This window comes from Homo sapiens, chromosome 18 (genome assembly GCF_000001405.40).
Source record: "Homo sapiens chromosome 18, GRCh38.p14 Primary Assembly".
NCBI classification, from domain to species: domain Eukaryota; kingdom Metazoa; phylum Chordata; class Mammalia; order Primates; family Hominidae; genus Homo; species Homo sapiens.
Genome location: NC_000018.10, coordinates 79,999,269 through 80,019,112, shown reverse-complemented (window position 1 = coordinate 80,019,112; position 19,844 = coordinate 79,999,269). Strand labels below are relative to the sequence as shown.

Here is a 19,844-nt window from a genome sequence, read left to right as displayed (position 1 = left end):
AACTAGGTAACAGGCAGAGATTGGAAAAGTTTGAAGGGCTCAAGAGAAGACAGGAAAGTGTAGGAAAGTTTGGAACTTCCTAGAGGCTTGTTGAATGGCTTTGTCCAACATTTTGATAGCGATATGGACAATAAAATTCTAGCTGAGGTAATTTCAGATGAAGATGAGGAATTTGTTGGGAACTGGAGCAAAGGTGACTCTTGTTTTGTTTTAGCAAAGATACTGGTGGCATTTTGCCCCTGCCCTAGAGAACTGTGGAACTTTTAACTCGAGAGAGATGATTTAGGGTATCTGGCAGAAGAAATTTCTAAGCAAAGCATTCAAAAAGTGACGGGTGCTGTTAAAAGCATTTTGTTTCAAGGAATTTATCCATTTCTTCTAGATTTTCTAGTTTATTTGCGTAGAGGTGTTTGTAGTATTCTCTGATGGTAGTTTGTATTTCTGTGGGATCGGTGATGATATCCCCTTTATCATTTTTATTGCGTCTTTTTGATTCTTCTCTCTTTTTTTCTTTATTAGTCTTGCTAGCAGTCTATCAATTTTGTTGATCCTTTCAAAAAACCAGCTCCTGGATTCATTAATTTTTTGAAGGGTTTTTTTGGTCTCTATTTCCTTCAGTTCTGCTCTGATTTTAGTTATTTCTTGCCTTCTGCTAGCTTTTGAATGTGTTTGCTCTTGCTTTTCTAGTTCTTTTAATTGCGATGTTAGCGTGTCAATTTTGGATCTTTCGTGCTTTCTCTTGTGGGCATTTAGTGCTATAAATTTCCCTCTACACACTGCTTTGAATGTGTCCCAGAGATTCTGGTATGTTGTGTCTTTGTTCTCGTTGGTTTCAAAGAACATGTGTATTTCTGCCTTCATTTCGTTATGTACCCAGTAGTCATTCAGGAGCAGGCTGTTCAGTTTCCACATAGTTGAGCAGTTTTGAGTGAGTTTCTTAATCCTGAGTTCTAGTTTGATTGCACTGTGGTCTGAGAGACAGTTTGTTATAATGGATAAATTCCTTGACACATACACTCTCCCAAGACTAAACCAGGAAGAAGTTGAATCTCTGAATAGACCAATAACAGGATCTGAAATTGTGGCAATAATCAATAGCTTACCAACCAAAAAGAGTCCAGGACCAGATGGATTCACAGCCGAATTCTACCAGAGGTACAAGGAGGAACTGGTACCATTCCTTCTGAAACTATTCCAATCAATAGAAAAAGAGGGAATCCTCCCTAACTCATTTTATGAGGCCAGCATCATCCTGATACCAAAGCTGGGCAGAGACACAACCAAAAAAGAGAATTTTAGACCAATATCCGTGATGAACATTGATGTAAAAATCCTCAATAAAATACTGGCAAACCGAATCCAGCAGCACATCAAAAAGCTTATCCACCATGATCAAGTGGGCTTCATCCCTGGGATGCAAGGCTGGTTCAATATACACAAATCAATAAATGTAATCCAGCATATAAACAGAACCAAAGACAAAAACCACATGATTATCTCAATACATGCAGAAAAGGCCTTTGACAAAATTCAACAACACTTCATGCTAAAAACTCTCAATAAATTAGGTATTGATGGGACGTATCTCAAAATAATAAGAGCTATCTATGACAAACCCACAGCCAATATCATACTGAATGGGCAAAAACTGGAAGCATTCCCTTTGAAAATTGGCACAAGACAGGGATGCCCTCTCTCACCACTCCTATTCAACATAGTGTTGGAAGTTCTGGCCAGGGCAATTAGGCAGGAGAAGGAAATAAAGGGTATTCAATTAGGAAAAGAGGTAGTCAAATTGTCCCTGTTTGCAGATGACATGATTGTATATCTAGAAAACCCCATCGTCTCAGCCCAAAATCTCCTTAAGCTGATAAGCAACTTTGGCAAAGTCTCAGGATACAAAATCAATGTACAAAAATCACAAGCATTCTTATACACCAATAACAGACAAACAGAGAGCCAAATCATGAGTGAACTCCCATTCACAATTGCTTCAAAGAGAATAAAATACCTAGGAATCCAACTTACAAGGGATGTGAAGGACCTCTTCAAGGAGAACTACAAACCACTGCTCAATGAAATAAAAGAGGATACAAACAAATGGAAGAACATTCCATGCTCATGGGTAGGAAGAATCAATATCGTGAAAATGGCCGTACTGCCCAAGGTAATTATAGATTCAATGCCATCCCCATCAAGCTACCAATGACTTTCTTCACAGAATTGGAAAAAACTACTTTAAAGTTCATATGGAACCAAAAAAGAGCCCGCATCGCCAAGTCAATCCTAAGCCAAAAGAACAAAGCTGGAGGCATCACGCTACCTGACTTCAAACTATACTACAAGGCTACAGTAACCAAAACAGCATGGTACTGGTACCAAAACAGAGATATAGATCAATGGAACAGAACAGAGCCCTCAGAAATAACGCTGCATATCTACAACTATCTGATCTTTGACGAACCTGAGAAAAACAAGCAATGTGGAAAGGATTCCCTATTTAATAAATGGTGCTGGGAAAACTGGCTAGCCATATGTAGAAAGCTGAAACTGGATCCCTTCCTTACACCTTATACAAAAATTAATTCAAGATGGATTAAAGACTTAAAAGTTAGACCTAAAACCATAAAAACCCTAGAAGAAAACCTAGGCATTACCATTCAGGACATAGGCATGGGCAAGGACTTCATGTCTAAAACACCAAAAGCAATGGCAACAAAAGCCAAAATTGACAAATGGGATCTAATTAAACTAAAGAGCTTCTGCGCAGCAAAAGAAACTACCATCAGAGTGAACAGGCAGCCTACAAAATGGGAGAAAATTTTCGCAACCCACTTATCTGACAAAGGGCTAATATCCAGAATCTACAATGAACTCAAACAAATTTACAAGAAAAAAACAAACAACCCCATCAACAAGTGGGCAAAGGATATGAACAGACACTTCTCAAAAGAAGACATTTATGCAGCCAAAAGACACATGAAAAAATGCTCATCATCACTGGCCATCAGAGAAATGCAAATCAAAACCACAATGAGATACCATCTCACACCAGTTAGAATGGCAATCATTAAAAAGTCAGGAAACAACAGGTGCTGGAGAGGATGTGGAGAAATAGGAACACTTTTACACTGTTGGTGGGACTGTAAACTAGTTCAACCATTGTGGAAGTCAGTGTGGCGATTCCTCAGGGATCTAGAACTAGAAATACCATTTGACCCAGCCATCCCATTACTGGGTATATACCCAAAGGACTATAAATCATGCTGCTATAAAGACACATGCACACATATGTTTATTGCAGCACTATTCACAATAGCAAAGACTTGGAACCAACCCAAATATCCAACAATGACAGACTGGATTAAGAAAATGTGGCACATATACACCATGGAATACTATGCAGCCATAAAAAATGATGAGTTCATGTCCTTTGTAGGGACATGGATGAAATTGGAAATCATCATTCTCAGTAAACTATCACAAGGACAAAAAACCAAACACCGCATGTTCTCACTTATAGATGGGAATTAAACCATGAGAACACATGGACACAGGAAGGGGAACATCACACTCTGGGGACTGTTGTGGGGTGGGGGTAGGGGGGAGGGATAGCATTAGGAGATATACCTAATGCTAAATGACGAGTTAATGGGTGCAGCACACCAGCATGGCACATGTATACATATGTAACTGACTTGCACATTGTGCACATGTACCCTAAAACTTAAAGTATAATAATAATAATAATAATAATTTTTTAAAAAAGCATTTTGTTTTAAAAGGGAAACAGAACATAAAAGTTCAGAAAATTTGCAGCCTGATCAATGAAGTAGAAAAGAAAAGTCCATTTTTTTTTTTGAGGAGAAATTCAAGCTGGCTGCAGAAATCTGCATAAGTAACAAGGAGCCAAATGTTAGTCCCCAAGACAATGGGGAAAATGTCTCCAGGGCACGTCATAGGTCTTCATGGTGGCCCCTGCCATCACAGACCCAGAAGCCAAGGAGGAAAAAATGTTTTTGTGGGCTGGGCCCAGGGTCCCCTTGCTGTGTGCGGCCTAGGGACTTGGTGCCCTGTGTCCCAGCCACTCCAGCTGTGGCAGAAAGGGGCCAACATACAGCTTGGGCTGTGACTTCAGAGGCTGGAAGCCACAAACCTTGGCAGTTTCCATGTGGTGTTGAGCCTGTGACCGCACAGAAGTCAAGAACTGAAGTTTGGGAACCTCTTCCTAGATTTCAGAAGATGTATGGAAATGCCTGGATGCCCAGACAAAAGTTTGCTGCAGGGGCTGGGCGCTCATGGAGAACCTCTGCTAGGGTGGTGCAGAAGGGAAATTTGGGGTTGGAGCCCCCACACAGAGTCCCTACTGGGAAACTGCCTAGTGGAACTGTGAGAAGAGGGCCAGAATCCTCCAGACCCCAGAATGGTAGATCCACTGACAGTTTGCACCGTCTACCTGGAAAACTAAACATGGCGTGTAGCAGACACTCAACGCCAGCCCATGAAAGCAGCCTGGAGGGAGGCTGTACCCTGCAAAGCCACAGGGGTGGAGCTGCCCAAGACCATGGGAACCCACCTCTTGCATCAGTGTGACCTGGATGCGAGACCCGAAGTCAAAGGAGATCATTTTGGAGCCTTAATATTTGACTGCCCTGCTGGATTTCAGACTTGCATGGGTCCTGTAACCCCTTTGTTTTGGCCAGTTTCTCCCATTTGGAATGGCTGTATTTACCCAATACCTGTACCTTTATTGTATATAGGAAGTAACTAGCTTGTTTTGATTTTACAGGCTCATAGGTAGAAGGGACTTGCTGTGTTTCTGATGAGACTTTGGACTATGGACTTTTGGGGTAATTCTGAAATGAGTTAAGACTTTGGGGGACTGTTGGGAAGGCATGATTGGTTTTGAAATGTGAGGATATGAGATTTGGAGGGGCCGGGGAAGAATGATATGGCTTGACTGTGTCCCCACCGAAATCTCAACATGAATTGTATCTCCCAGAATTCCTACATGTTGTGGGAGGGACCCAGGGGGAGGTAATTGAATCATGGGGGCTGGTCTTTCCTCTGCTAGTCTCAGGATAGTGAATAAGTCTCTTGAGAGCTGATGGGTTTATCAGGGCCTTCTGCTTTTGTTTCTTCCTCATTTTGTCTTGCTGCCACCATGTAAGAAGTGCCTTCACCTCCCTCCCTGTTTCTGAGATCTGCCCAGCTATGTGGAAATATAAGTCTAATTAAGCCTTTTTGTTGTTGTTGTTCCTAGTTTCAGGTACGTCTTTATCAGCAGCATGAAAATGAACTAATACAGTCCTTCCCAAAGATGCCCACACATGAAATCTCGGACCCTTGTGTAATATTTAACAGAAGTAGGCTGGGTGCAATGGCTCACGCCTGTAATCCCAGCACTTTGGGAGACTGAGGTGGGTGGATCACGAGGTCAGGAGTTCGAGACCAGCCTGACCAACATGGTGAAACCCCCTTTCTACTATAAATACAAAAAGAAATAAAAAATTAGCCGGGCGTGGTGGCGCATGCCAGTAATCCCAGCTACTTGGGAGGCTGAGGCAGGAGAATCGTTTGAACCTGGGAGGTAGAGGTTGCAGTGAGTTGAGATCATGCCACTGCACTCCAGCCTGGGCAACAGAGTGAGACTCCATCTCAAAAATAATAATAATAATAAAATATTTAATGGGGCCAGGTGTGGTGGCTCACGCCTGTAATCCCAGCACTTTGGGAGGCCGAGGCGGGGGGATCATGAGGTAGGAGATCGAGAGCATCCTGGTTAACATGGTGAAACCCCGTCTCTACTAAAAATACAAAAAATTAGCTGGGCATGGTGGCGGGCACCTATAGTCCCAGCTACTCAGGAGGCTGAGGCAGGAGAATGGTGTGAACCCAGGAGGCGGAGCTTGCAGTGAGCCAAGATCGCGCGCCACTGTGCTCCAGCCTGGGGGACAGAGCCAGACTCCGTCTCAAAAAAAAAAAAAAAATTTTTTTTTTTCCTTTTTTAATTTTTTTTGTTCTCTCTCTCTTATTTTTTCTTTCTTCAAACCCTTGTGTCGAGGGCTGACTTTCAACAGATCGCAGCGAGGGAGCTGCTCTGCTATGTACGAAACCCCGACCCAGAAGCAGGTCGTCGACGAATGCTTTAGCACCAGGTTCCCCAGGAACGTGCGTTGCGTGACGGGCGAGGGGGCGGCCGGCCGCCTTTCCGGCCTCACCCCGTTTCCCAGGAGGAAGGGCACTCCGCACTGGACCCCGGTCCCAAAAAAAAAAAAAAAATTTAATGGAAGTAATCTGCAAATTTGTGGACTAATGGGATGTCTAAACCAACAGACCCTGTAAAGAGGGTTGTCTAAGATATTGGCCAGGACATTCTGTGTCTCTAATTTTTCAAAACTCTATTTGCCAAAAAGATTCTTCCTACGCAGCATGTATAGTTCCAAATGGTACTGTGGATAACTAGACTAAGTATGGATATCCTTATCCTAAAGATATTGCCATTAGATATAGGGAAGGCAACCTTATAAGGCCTGGACTAAATCTAGCTGAAACTCTCATGAACCACAACATAAAACCATCCCTTCAGGGAACAGGGCTTTACTTTCTCTATGGCTCCTGGGTACACTTAATTCTCCCCAGGCACTGGAGAGGAGCAGGCACTATAGTGGCAGTGGTCCCCAGTGTGTTATTTTTAAACCCTTCTAACACGGTAGCATTGTCAGGTAACATCCCTAATTTAGCCTCTTTTCTGGAAAGTGCATTCTCTCACACATACCAAAACGGAAGGTCACTTATCTCTATGTCATCATATGGAGATTTAACAGAAAAAACTTAAAAGGACATGCACACAAGAATCCTATATTAGAAAAACCAGGAATAGGACATGCAGTAGCCAAAGGCCTATCTTGGTTTGGCGGTGTCCCCTTCTTAAGAAAATCAGTGCTTAATATTTCTATCAAAATTATTGGGGAAACCAGCCCCACACTACCCGGTGGGTACCCCGAGTCCAGCAGAAACAAAGGAGTTAGAAAGAGACAGAGTAAGAGTTTAAAAGGCGCGTCCAGAGCTCTTTAGCTCCACCTAATTTATTGGTTTACAAGCTCTTTGTTCTTAGGGCAGATGGGAGGGGGAGGAAGGGATGAGGAAAAGGATTAATCAGTGAAGGAGAACTCGTTAGTCACTCAATAAGATGTTTAGCAGTCTCGGTTTCTGTGAATTTCCTCGAGCAAAGGCGTGTGTCTAAACTACTTAAGATCTTTAAAAAATGTCTTCATCCAAACTTTATAGAGAGTAAACTTCACATAAAATATATATATATAGTTCTTAAAAAAAAAAGATCTTTAACTTATAGGGACGGAAAAGGTGGGAGTGGGTTTCAGGAGGAGCCAAGATGTTTGATTATACTCCATTGCTTCAAGGAAGTGTTATCTCCCTGAGCCACCTGTGGAATGCCGCCGAGCGGTTGTGCTCTCGGGGCATAAAGACATGAAGGCAATAAGGAGACTTTTCTCCTCAGAGGCTGCTCATGGCTCCCCATGGGTGTCTCACACAGGGGAGACCAACTCATCTGGCGCCCCAGAAACTCTTTCCCACAATATTGCAGCAAGGGTGGAAGGCAACTGTAGCAGCCATAAAGGCACAACAATCCAAAATTCTGTAGCCTCAGTGGTAATGCAAAATAAACTCTCAATGTCCTTATAGCTGAAGTAGTGGGCGCCTGTGCACTCTTAAATAAAACATGCTGTTTCTGGATCAACACTTCCAGTCAGGTAGAGAAAAATTTACAAGTCCTTAAAAACCAAATTGAAATCACTAACAAATTAAGGGAAAATGCAAACTCCCGTCCCAGTTGGCTACAATCCCTTTTTAATAAATTCGAGTCTTGGTTTTGGGCCTGGTTAGCTCCCCTACGAAAACCTCTTTTCCTTATATGTTTTATATTAGTGTTTGGCCTTTGCATACTCAATGATATAACCCAAATTGTTTCCTTTCCCGAGGGGCTAACAAGCACCAAATGGTAATGCAAATAAAACCACACATGGATGTGCCTTTCTTCCGCGGACCCTTAAACCAACCCCAGGAGGAACCCTAGCTGCTCTTCCCCCACACAATGCCCCTTTCCAGCAGGAAGTAGCCAAAGAAAAAAAAAAAGCAATGCCCAACCTCCCCAACAGCAGTTGGGTCTCTACTCCACGGGGGGACTGAAAGGAGTTAGCTTGCCTTAGGTAGACAGCAAGGGAAGAGTCCCTGGAGAGCCCCCGGCCCAAGGTCAGAGCCTTATCCCCACATAAAATAGAAAGCAGCCTGGGGTGGGGGGAAATCAGGCTGCAGGAACCAGTAAGGGAACTAGCACGTGGCGTTGTGCCTGGAGACATGCCCGTGGCTACACAGATGGAAAAACCTCCACTTGGATAAAATCTTGCACAAACCTCCAACTCACTCAAATAAGGGAACAAGGCTGGGCATAAAAATGCCTTCGTCCTTTGTATAGACAGTGGGCTCCCAGGAAGATGTTTCTTCTCATTTTTGGGCATGGGCACAGTGGGCTTCAGTGGGTTCCCGTGGACACTCTCCTTTCCTTTGTTTGGACTGTACGTCTGCCCTCTGTGAATCATCACTTCAGCCTCTGGTTGGTCCCAGGCCAAGCTGTCACTTCAGCTCCTAATAGGTCCTGGGCCAGGCTAAGCAGCCTCTGTGAATCATCGCTTCATCTTCTAACTGGTGCTGGGCCAAGCTTTCCAGTAGGTCCTGGGCCAAGGTCCCGGGACAAGCTGAGTCACGTGTTCTCGAAGACAGCCTGCAGACTAAGCACCTTTCTTCCTCTTTCCAGTTCATAGAGAACCCAGAACGGGACTCATAGTGGCCACCCCATTCAGGACCCCCTCTCTGCTGGCAGAGAGCTTTCTTCTTTCGCTTATTAAACCTTCGCCCCAACTTCACCTTTGTGTCTGTACTCCTTAATCTTCTTGAAGGTAAAACAAGAGTCCAGTTATTATCTCAAAGAACAAAAACTGTTACATCTTGGTGCATTGCGTAATAACTGGTTACAGCAGGAGCCAGGGAAAGGCCATCTCCCAAACAGACAGAAAATACCTGAAGCTGGTGATGAGCAGCTTGCTGATAAGACCTCAGGAGTTGGGTGAGTGGGCTCACACATGGCACCAAGAGGCAAAATGGTGAAGTTTAACTGGTATATGACCTTCCTCTAGGAACACTCAACTGATAAGGGAAAAATGCCTCAAGTGAGCCTGCGTACAATTTCAGTAAACACTGCGCACGCAGCCCCTCCCAAGCTCTGGCGGGACACCATGCAAGTGGACAGCCAGCTCCAAGGGAAGAATCAAGGGAGAAGAAACACAAAACCCCAAAAATCCCAAATCGAGGGTCAGGTGGGACACTCATCTCTCAAGTTGCCGACCTGGCCCTCTTGCAAGTGCACTTCACTTCCTTTCATTCTTGCTCTAAAACTTTGTAATAAACTCTCACTCTTGCTCTAAATCTGGCCTTGGTCTCTATCTCTGCCTTAAAACTATTTCTTCCTCTCAGCCAAATTCTTTCCTCCAAGGAGGCAAGAATAAAGTTGCTGCAGACCCGTATAAACTTGCCACTGGTAACAGCCCTGTTGGTGTCCCGTCCTGACAAACTTGAGAGGATCCACAGGCAGGGGCCTCCCAACAACAGGAGTGCACAGCTAAGCAGGTGTGTCATTAACCACCTGAATCGTGTGAAGTCGGAGGATAAACGCCCCGTGAAATATGGAAAAGTCAAAATGTTTACAGCTTTGCTTTTGCCCAACAGAGCAATAACTGAGGCACTGATGTTTCCTGACTGCTGTCCGCACTTTCCTCCTGCCATTCCATTCGAGCTGCTAAACAGTGAAAGGCATTTTCTTCTTGTAAGATGATGGCTTAATTTACAAAAAAAAAGTATTACTTTCGTTGAAATTGCCTTCAACAGACTTAAGGCTCTAAATACAGGATTGTCTTCCTTTAAAGCCCCTGGAAAATTGAGACCTAGAAAGAAAAATAAAGTAGGCCGGGCGCAGTGGCTCACGCCTGTAATCCCAGCACTTTGGGAGGCCGAGGAGGGCGGATCACGAGGTCTAGGAGCTGGAGACCAGCCTGGCCAATATGGTGACACCTTGTCTCTACTGAAAATACAAAAATTAGTCGGGCGTGGTGGCTCACGCCTGTAATCCCAGCTACTTGGGAGTCTGAGGCAGAAGAATCGCTTGAACTCAGGAGGCGGAGGTTGCAGTGAGCCACGATCGTGCCACTGCACTCCAGCCTGGGGGACAGAGCGAGACTCCATCTCAAAAGAAAGAAAGAAAGAAAGAAAAATGAAGTAGAATGAATTTCCAACTGCTTCTTTCAAAGGAAAGTGAGACAGACTCATACAGTCCCAGGAGATGGATGTGACACCTCTGTACCACTCAGAATTGCCTGAAGTGGGGTGGGGTGGAGGAGAACGGGGGGAAGCACTCAGGTAAAAGTACAAAGAGGGTGAACTTAATGTGGAGAAGACAGGAAGGGGGAGAGGAAGGGAATGTCATGAATATTAAAAACAGGGAACATAAAAACAATGCAACCAATTAAAATATTGTTTAGAGACAGACAAAAAGAGATACAATAAAGATGGGGTGAGGGAAGAAAAGATGACAAAAGGAGAGGACCAGGCATGAGAAGAGGAAGAGGAGAATGCGGAGGAGGCTGCTTGCCTGCTGTGGGATGGATGGCAGGGGCACTTCCCCAGACTCACTTTTCTCAGATGTAAAACTGACCAGCCTTGTGCCACAGATGTGAAGATAGCCCCATAGAACTTAAAGAGCAGACCATAACTTCCCATGAATGAGAGCTACTAACATTTACATCTGAAAAACAATTTGGATACTTACCCAAGTCTCCAACAAACAAAGTCACACTGAAGCTGGAGAGCACACTCATAACACCCGGAAAAACATTTTTTTTTAAGACTCCATCTCCCAGGCTGGAGTGCAGAGGTGCAGTCACGGCTCATTACAACCCAGACCTCCTGGGTTCAAGCGATCCTCCTGTCTCAGCCCCTCTGAGTAGCTGGGACCACAGGCGTGCGCTGCCACGCCTGGCTGATTTTGCATTTTTTGTAGAGATGGGGGTCTTACTATGTTGCCTAGGCTGTGAGGAGGGCAAAAATCATCTGGTGACCATTGGACAGGCCCCAGAGACAAATCTTCTTACCTGGGCAATTCAGAAGGGAGCCAAGACCACCTGGTGACCATCAAACAGGCCATCTGGAGGCAAAACTCCTTATCTGGGGAATTTAGAAGTAATCAAACTTCCCTAGTATCTGAAGACGGCATCTGATCATGATACAGGAACTAGAAAGAAATCATTTAGGCAGTTAGTGAGGGTGAGGGAAGAGAGAGGCCCTCTCATATTGTTTATTTAGGCCATTAGTGAGGGTGAGGGAAGAGAGAGACCCTCTCATATTGTTTCATATTGTTTTATACTCAGTACCTGATTAAAAAAAAAAACCAAGGAAGTGAAATCAAAGACAGGCAGCCCAGCGCCAGGCCCAAAACCAGGCCTGGGCCTGCCTGGCCTAAACCTAGTAGTTAAAAATCAACTCTTGACTTAGAACCCGATGTTACCCATAGATTTCAGGCATTGTATGGAAGAACATTGTGAAACTCCCTGCTCTGTTCTGTTTCTCTCCGACTCTCTCTGCACGACACCCCTGTTACGTATCCCCTAGATTGCTCAGTCAATCACAATCCTTTCATATGAAATCTTTAGTGTTGTGAGCCCTTAAAAAGGACAGAAATTGTGCATTCAGGGACCTCGCATTTTGAGACAGTAGCTTGCCGATGCTCCCAGCTGAATAAAGCCCTTCCTTCTACAACTCGGTGTCTGAGAGGTTTTGTCTGTGGCTCGTCCTGCTGCAAGGGTAAGAGAGTCCTCAGTAAGGCTTTCCTTTTAACAAAAAGCAGCCCCCAAATTATTTCTTTTCTAACAAAGAGCAGCTTGTAAAATTGAGCTGCAGACACAGATAAGCCAGCTGGAAGCCTGCATAGGTGAATGCCGGCAGCTGTGCCAATAGAAAAGGGATACCTGGAAGCCAAGTATGTTCAACATGGAGGTTCCCCTTCCATTTTCTTTGTCATCACATGTGCAGTAAAAAAGCAGGCAACGTGGCGCCTGGCGCGTAGAGACTCCATTTGCATAAAAAGATTTGCATAATAAAAGGATGAGTTGGCCGCTTCTTCCAGTGCTATGTAAATGGCACACCTGGTCCAACCAATCCTCTGTGCCCTATGTAAATCAGACACCACCTTCTCAAGCTCATCGATAAAACCATCTGGTTGCAAAGGGGGAAATCCTCTCAGAACCCCCCTCACTCTGCACAAGGGAACTTTTCTCTTTTGCCTATTAAACTCCCACTCTAAAACTCACTCATTGTGGGTCTACGTCCTCAATTTCCTTGACATGAGGCAACAAACCTCAGGTATTACCCCAGACAAATGACACCGCTTCAATTCCAGGCCTCTTTCAACTTTTATAAGTAAATAAAATTTCTAAACATCTCTGGAATGCCATGCTGAAACTCAGTTTACAACCCTAAGCTCCAGCCTTAAGGTCCATAAATGCTCCTATGGAAAATCCACCACTGGGCGCTCAATCCTCTCTCTGAGGCGCCCCACTGCACTCTGTTACAGCATTCTTCCTAATAAACTTTCCTTTTTTTTTTGAGACAGAGTCTCACTCTGTCACCCAGGCTGGAGTGCAATGGCATGATCTTGGCTCACTGCAACCTCTGCCTCCTGGGTTCAAGCGATTCTCCTGCCTCAGCCTCCCAAGTAGCTGGGACTACAGGCGCATGCCACCACACCCGGCTAATTTTCGTATTTTTAGTAGAGACAAGGTTTCACCATATTGGCCAGGCTGGTCTCGAACTCCTGACCTCGTGATCCGCCCGCCTTAGCCTCCCAAAGTGCTGGGATTACAGGCGTGAGCCACCACACCTGGCCTTGTTTATTTTTTAGAGATAAGGTCTATCTTGCCCAGGCTGGCCTCAAACCCCCAAGGTCAAGTGGTCCTCCTGCCTCAGCCTCCTGAGTACTTGGGACTACAAAATTGTGTCCCCACACTAGATAAAGCTGTTTTTGGAAAGTTCTTCTTCCTAGATATTTTTTCTTATTCTTTTTCTTTTTTCTTTTTTGAAACAGAGTCTTGCTCTGTCACCCAGGCTGGAGTGCAGTGGTGCGATCTCAGCTAACTGCAACCTCTGCCTCGCGGTTCAAGCAATTCTCCTGCCTCAGCCTCCCAAGTAGCTGGGATTACAGGCATGCACCATCATGCTGGCTAATTCTTGTACTTTTAGTAGAGACAGGGTTTTGCCATGTTGGCCAGGCTGGTCTTGAACTTCTGACCTCAAGTGATCTGCCCGCCTCAGCCTCCCAAAGTGTTGGGATTACAGATGTGAGCCACTGTGCCCTGCCAACATTTTTCAATACGGAGTTAAATAGCAAATAACACTGAGAAGCCCTGCTATAAGCTCCCAGGAAAACTATTTTCCATATTCATTTATCCAGTAGGATTCTCTGTTACTAGGCCAGAGAATGTATATTATTATTTTATTCCTGAAAAACATATCCTAAAATAAAGGGTGCACATGTAGACATTTTAAATAATACAGAATGAATACCTACATAGGCACTGCCCACCCTAAGAAAGACAGCATAAGCAATTGAAACACTCTTAACCTCTAATTCAATGGCTGTCACCTGGGGGCAATTTTTCTCCCCCCAGGGGAGCTTGCCAAGTCTGCAGACAGCCTGGGTTGTCATCACAGGGAGGGGCCACCACTGGCATCTGGTGGGTGGAGGCCAGGGCCGCTGCTCAACAACCTTCGAGTCCAGAATGCCCCATTGGCCTCAGGTGTCACCAGGGCCTTCCCTCTGCATGCTGTTCCCCCAGGAGATCATCACAATCTCACGAGACTCTCGTGTTAACCATCCCTTGCCCTTCCTCATGGTTCTACTGCACGTCTGTGTCTCTAGGTCACGTTTGGCTTTGCCTGTGTTTGAACTTCACATAAGCGGGCTCATTCAGTCCAGCCCTTTTATCACTGCAGCTCTTTAGCTATGTCTAACCTTTTTAGCCAATTCATCCTGTTTCTAATGTTAGTTGTCCTGATTTTCATTTCTGGGAATTTCCCTGGCTTCTGTTCTGGACTCTTCAATAGTTCTGATGCTTTCTCCTCCTCACTGCTTTGCACTCCTTTAAACACAGATGCATTCCTATTCTGGGTCTGATCATCTCAGGACCGGCAGCCACTGCGCACTCGATGTTTTGTTTGTGGTTTCTTGGGACTCTGCTCAAGGCTTGTTTTCTCTGGTGATTTTCTCATGAGTTCTCAGAGCGTGCACATTCACTTCTGCATGGGTCAAAGCTAAAGTTCTAAATTCAATGTGTACACAGAGGAGTTCCACAGCCCACCTTGACCTGCCCACCCACCCCTTTCACGAAGCCGAGGGCCTGGCACTTACTTTCCTCTTCAACCAGCAAAGTAACCCAGAGCTCCTGCTGCAAGGAAGTGCGAATCCCCCCCAGATTGCTGGGAATTCTCAGGAACATATCTCTGCCCTTCCACCCAGGCTCAGACAGGGAGCACTCGGTGCCTGCTTCAGGTTTCTGGCTTGAGAGATGCAGCCCCCTTCCTACCCACAGGTAAGGTGGGAGAGGCACCCACCTCTACCCACCTTTCTCTGAAGGGAGAGTTTCCCTGAGTTCATGCACTGAGAGCCACGGTCCCAGAGTCCAGGCTTTGGGTGGTGGTGTCAGGCCTCAGGCTGCCCTCAGGGCAGGCACATCAAACGCCTGGCAAGCAACAGCCCTGGAGGAAACATAAACCTCAGGGAATCCCTCTACTTACCTGCCAACCCTGCCCCAAGGAATCCCTTAACTTTCCTGCCTACACTGCCAGGCTTTTTTTTTTTTTTAAGTAGCTTATGGTGGCTCATGCCTGTGATCCCAGAAATATGGGAGGATAAGAAGGAATGATTTCTTGAAGCCAGGACTTTGAGACCAGTGACCTATCTGACATGGTCTGGCTGTGTCCCCACCCAAAATCTCATCTTGAATTGTAATCCCCATGTGTCAAGAGCAGGACCAAGCGGAGGTGACCGGATCGTGGGGGTGGTTTTCCCCGTGCTGTTGTGATAGTGAGTGAGTCTCACGGGATCTGATGGTTTTGTTAAGCGTCTGGCATTTGCCCTGCTTGCATTCATTGCATCCTGCAGCCCTGTGGAGAGGGTACCTGCCTTCTGCATTGATTGTAAATTTCCTGAGGCCTCCCCAGCAATGTGGAACCGTGAGTCACTTAAACCCCTTTCCTTTATGAATTACCTATTCTCAGGTGTTTTTTCATAGCAGCATGAGAATGAACAAATACACCATCTCCAATAAAATAATGCTTCTTAAAAGTAGCTTTTAAAATATTTCTCCTGCTGCCCTAGAAATCACTGACCATGTAATCAGCCAGGTTCTGGAAACAGAAATTCCTGACAGTTAATATTAACAACAACAAAAAAATTATAACTGAAGAGACAAGGAAAAGGGAAGAGAAAGAAGCTGTGGAAGGAAAATAGAATTTCAAGACCCCAAACTCACAATTCCAAAGGAAAACTAAGCTTGGGAACTAAGTCATGCAAAAACTGCTTCTCCTTTTGTTCCCAAAGAGAGAGCTGTGATTTCACATGCTTGCCCTCTGGGTCCAGGCAGCAGGCACACACCCTGAAGTCACCTGGTGGGGTGTCACACTGCACAGGACCTGTGCTGGACACACCTTGAAGTACTCCTCAGGCCATTGCTGGGCCCATGAGCTCTTGAGGATGTAGCCAGCTGGATGGACATCCTAGGCCTATCCTAGCCACCCAGCGCTGGACTTGAGGAAATGTCATCCACAGAGGATGACATATGATGATGACCACCCAGGAGCCAAGACAGCAGAGAAAGCCGCAGTCAGTGCGTAAGCTTGGCCAGGCTGAAGCTGGACAGACACACCCATCTCCCAGGACAGCTCAAGGGTGACCAACTGGACAACAGGCCCCCTTCCCAGCAGTGGGCCTTCCTACTTGGACTCACCTGAGGACATCCTGGCCTCCCTCCCTGCCATCTTCCTGTCCCTCACCTGTTGCTGGAGGGTTCAAGAGGGTCTACCGATGCCTGTGGGATGCCAGCCACAGCTGGTGTCCAGGTTTTTGGCACCACAGTGAGAAAGAATTCAGGGCCGAGTCCGTGAAGTGGAAAGCCAGGAGCTTTGATTGCAAAGCGAAAGCTCACACTTAGGACAGAGGTCATGCACAAAGGAGTTTGGGTTTCTAACTTTATGTGCTCTTCTAATTAGGGGGTGGAATAATCATGTGGTTTTCTAGGGAAAAGGCGGAGATTTCCTAGAATGGGGGTGCCATCCATTTTCATACTAAATATGGGCATGCTCAGAGCTGCCATACACCCAGCCTCATTTTAAAAATTGGTTCTTCTTACTCTGCAAAATTAATGGCTGAGTAATCATTCTTGGCAATCTCAATACCAGATTTGTTGGTGACAATGAAAGCCTTGAGGGACACGGCCTTTTCTACATGAGTTTGGACTCTATAAGCAACTCTTCAGTGGCTTTTTTGTTTTTAGCATTTTACTCACATCCTTACTTGGTGAACTGAACTGTGGATTGTGCCATACTTAACCCCTCTGCTTTCCCATCACCCTAGGAGGGCAGCCTGGATTTGGTGGAACATATTCTCATCAGCATGCACCTAGACACGAGGACCTAACGGATTAAGATGTGCCACAGGGCTTGCAGATTCCTTGACCATCTGTTTGCTGGTTCAGGATTGTTGAAATCTGTACTGTTTGCATGTTTTGTGAGGCTTCTTCAGTCACATGGTAGCAGGCAAGAGAGAATGAGAGCCACATGAAAGGGTTTCCCGTTATAAAACCATCAGATCTTGTGAGATTTGTTCACTACCAGGAGAAAAGTATGGGGAAAAACTGCCCCCCTAATTCAATTATCTCCCTCCAGATCCCTCCCAAAACACATGGAAATTATGAAAGCCATAATTCAAGATGAGATTTGGGTGGGGACACAGCCAAACAATACCATTGCATCCCTGGCCCCTCCCAAATCTCATGTCCTCATATTTCAAAAGCAATAATGCCTTCCCAACAGTCCCCCAAAGTCCTTTTAGCATTAACTCAAAAGTTCACAGTCCAAACTCTCATCTGGGACACAGCAAGTCCCTTCTGCCTATGAGCCTGTAAAATCAAAAGTAAGTTAGTTACTTCCTAGATACAATGGGGGTATAGTCATTGGGTAAATACAGCCATTCGAAATTAGAGAAATTAGCCAAAACGAAGGGACTAAAGGCCCATGCAAGTCCGAAATCCAGTGGGGCAGTCATTAAACTTTAAAGTTCCAAAATGACCTCCTTTGACACCATGTCTCACATCCGGGTCACACTGATGCAAAAGGTGGGTTTCCATGGCCTTGGGCAGTTCTGCCCTGTGGCTTTGCAGGGTATACCCCACTCTTGGCTGCTTTCATGGGCTGGAGTTGAGTGTCTGTGGCTCTTCCAGGGCCACAGAGCAAGCTGTTGATGGATCTACCAGTGTGGGGTTTGGAGGACAGTGGCCCTCTTCTCACAACTCCACTAGGCAGTGCCCTAGTGAGGACTCTGTGTGGGGGCTTCAACCTCACATTTTTCTTCTGCACTGCCCTAGCAGAGGTTCTCCATGAGGGCCCCAGCCCTGCAGCAAACTCCTGCCTGGACGTCCAGGCATTTCCATATATCCTCTGAAATCTAGGCAGAGGTTCCCAAACCTCAATTCTTGACTTCTGTGCACCCACAGGCTCCACATCACGTGGAAGCTGCCAAGGCTTAGAGCTTCCATTCTTTGAAGCCACAACCCAAGCTATACCTTGGCCCCTTTTAGCCATTGCTAGAGTGGCTGGGACACAGGGCACCAAGTCCTTACTAGACTGCACACAGCAGGGGGGCCCTGGGCCAGGCACCAAAAAACATTTTTTCCTACTAGGCCTCCAGGCCTGTGATGGGAGGGGCTGCCACGAATGTCTCTGACATGCCCTGGAGACATTTTCTCATTGTCTTGGTGACTAACATTTGGCTCCTTGCTCACGCCTGTAATTCCAGCACTTTGGGAGGCCAAGGCAGGCAGATCACTTGAGATCAGGAGTTCAAGACCAGCCTGGCCAACATGGTGAAACCCCGTCTCTACTAAAAATACAAAAATTAGCTGGGAGTGGAGTCAGGCGCCTGTAATCCCAGCCACTCAGGAGGCTGAGGCAGGAGAATTGCTTGAACCCAGGAAGGGAGGGTGTGGTGAGCCGAGATCATGCCACTGCACTCCAGCCTGGGCGACAGAGGGAGACTCCCATCTCAAAAAAACAAAACAAACAAACAAAAAATTTGGCTCCTCATTACTTATGCAAATTTCTGCAACTGTCTTGAATTTCTCCACAGAAAATGGGTTTTCCTTTTCTATCTCATCGTCAGACTGCACATTTTCTAAACTTTTATGCTGTTTCCCTTCAAAAACTTAATCTTATTAACAGCACCCAAGCCACCTCTTGAATGCTTTTCTTTGCTTAGAAATTTCCTGCCAGATACCTAAATCATCTCCCTCAAGTTCAAAGTTTCACAGATGTCTAGGGCAGGGGCAAAATGCCACCATTCTCTTTCCTAAAACATAGCAAGAGTCACCTTTATTCTAGTTCCCAACAAGTTCCTTCTCTCCATCTGAGACCACCTCAGCCTGGATTTCATTGTCCATATCATTATCAGCATTTTGGTCAAATCCATTCAACAAGTCTCTAGGGAGTTCCAAACTTTCCCACATGTTCCTGTCTTCTTCTGAGCCCTCCAAACTGTTCCGACCTCTACCTGTTACCCAGTTCCAAAGTTACTTCCACATTTTTGGGTATCTTTACAACACCACCACACTCTGCTGGTACCAATTTACTGTATTACTCCGTTTTCACACTACTGATGAAGACACACCCAAGACTGGGTAATTTATCAAGAAAAAGAGGTTTAATGGACTCACAGTTTCACATGGCTGGGGAGGCCTCACAATCATGGTGGAAGGGGAAAGGCATATCTTACATGGCAGCAAGCAAGAGAGAATGGGAGCCAAGCAAAAGGGGTTTCCCCTTATAAAGTCATCAGATCTCATGAGACTTACTCACTACCATGAGAACAGCATGAGGGAAACTGCCCCCGTGATTCAATTATCTCCCACTGGGTCCCTCCCACAACATGTGAGAATTGTGGGAGCTACAATGTAAGGTAAGATTTGGGTGGGGACACAGCCAAACTATATCATATGTTTTTAAGTGTTTTGAGTTTTATGGTCATTTTCTGGATTGGGGCTGGCTCAAATGCTGCTCTTTTAGCTGTGGCATGAGCCAATTGGTTACCCTGAACTTCTGTGGTGTTTAATTTAAAGTGACCTGGGATTTTTATGGTTGTGAACTATTTTGGTTTTAGAATAGCTTTTTTTTTTTTTTTTTTTTTGAGATGGAGTCTCACTCTTGTCACTCAGGCTGAAGTGCAGTGGCGCAGTCTTGGCTCACTGTAACCTCCACCTCCCGGGTTCAAGCAATTCTCCTGCTTCAACCTCCCAAGTAGCTGGGATTACAGGCACCCGCCACCATGCCTGGCTAATTTTTGTATTTTTAGTAGAGACGGGGTTTCACTATGTCGGCCAGGCTGGTCTTGAACTCCTGACCTCATGTGATCCGCCCGCCTCGGCCTCCCAAAGTGCTGGGATTACAGGCGTGAG

The 19,844-nt window shown here is 45.6% G+C and overlaps 1 protein-coding gene across 2 annotated transcripts in view, besides 4 other annotated features; it reads left to right on the top strand.

Annotated features, from left to right (window-relative positions):
- Positions 1-19,844, top strand: part of TXNL4A (thioredoxin like 4A) — a 63,124-nt gene that overhangs the window by 14,824 nt on the left and 28,456 nt on the right. The gene's annotated exons all lie outside the window — the stretch shown is intronic.
- Positions 6,010-6,304: an enhancer, noted in NCBI's record as "tiled region #15651; HepG2 Activating DNase unmatched - State 23:Low". NCBI's record gives its function as "activates a minimal TATA promoter and a strong SV40 promoter by Sharpr-MPRA in HepG2 cells {active_cell/tissue: HepG2}" and the evidence as "EXISTENCE:reporter gene assay evidence [ECO:0000049][PMID:27701403]".
- Positions 6,010-6,304: a silencer, noted in NCBI's record as "tiled region #15651; K562 Repressive non-DNase unmatched - State 23:Low". NCBI's record gives its function as "represses a minimal TATA promoter and a strong SV40 promoter by Sharpr-MPRA in K562 cells {active_cell/tissue: K562}" and the evidence as "EXISTENCE:reporter gene assay evidence [ECO:0000049][PMID:27701403]".
- Positions 11,954-12,455: an enhancer, noted in NCBI's record as "OCT4 hESC enhancer chr18:77766658-77767159 (GRCh37/hg19 assembly coordinates)". NCBI's record gives its function as "activates a minimal SCP1, AML or CMV promoter by ChIP-STARR-seq in naive H9 embryonic stem cells {active_cell/tissue: H9 hESC(naive)}" and the evidence as "EXISTENCE:reporter gene assay evidence [ECO:0000049][PMID:30033119]".
- Positions 15,926-16,139: a silencer, noted in NCBI's record as "fragment chr18:77762974-77763187 (GRCh37/hg19 assembly coordinates)". NCBI's record gives its function as "represses an EF-1alpha promoter that drives an FKBP-Casp9 reporter gene in an ReSE screen in HepG2 liver carcinoma cells {active_cell/tissue: HepG2}" and the evidence as "EXISTENCE:reporter gene assay evidence [ECO:0000049][PMID:32094911]".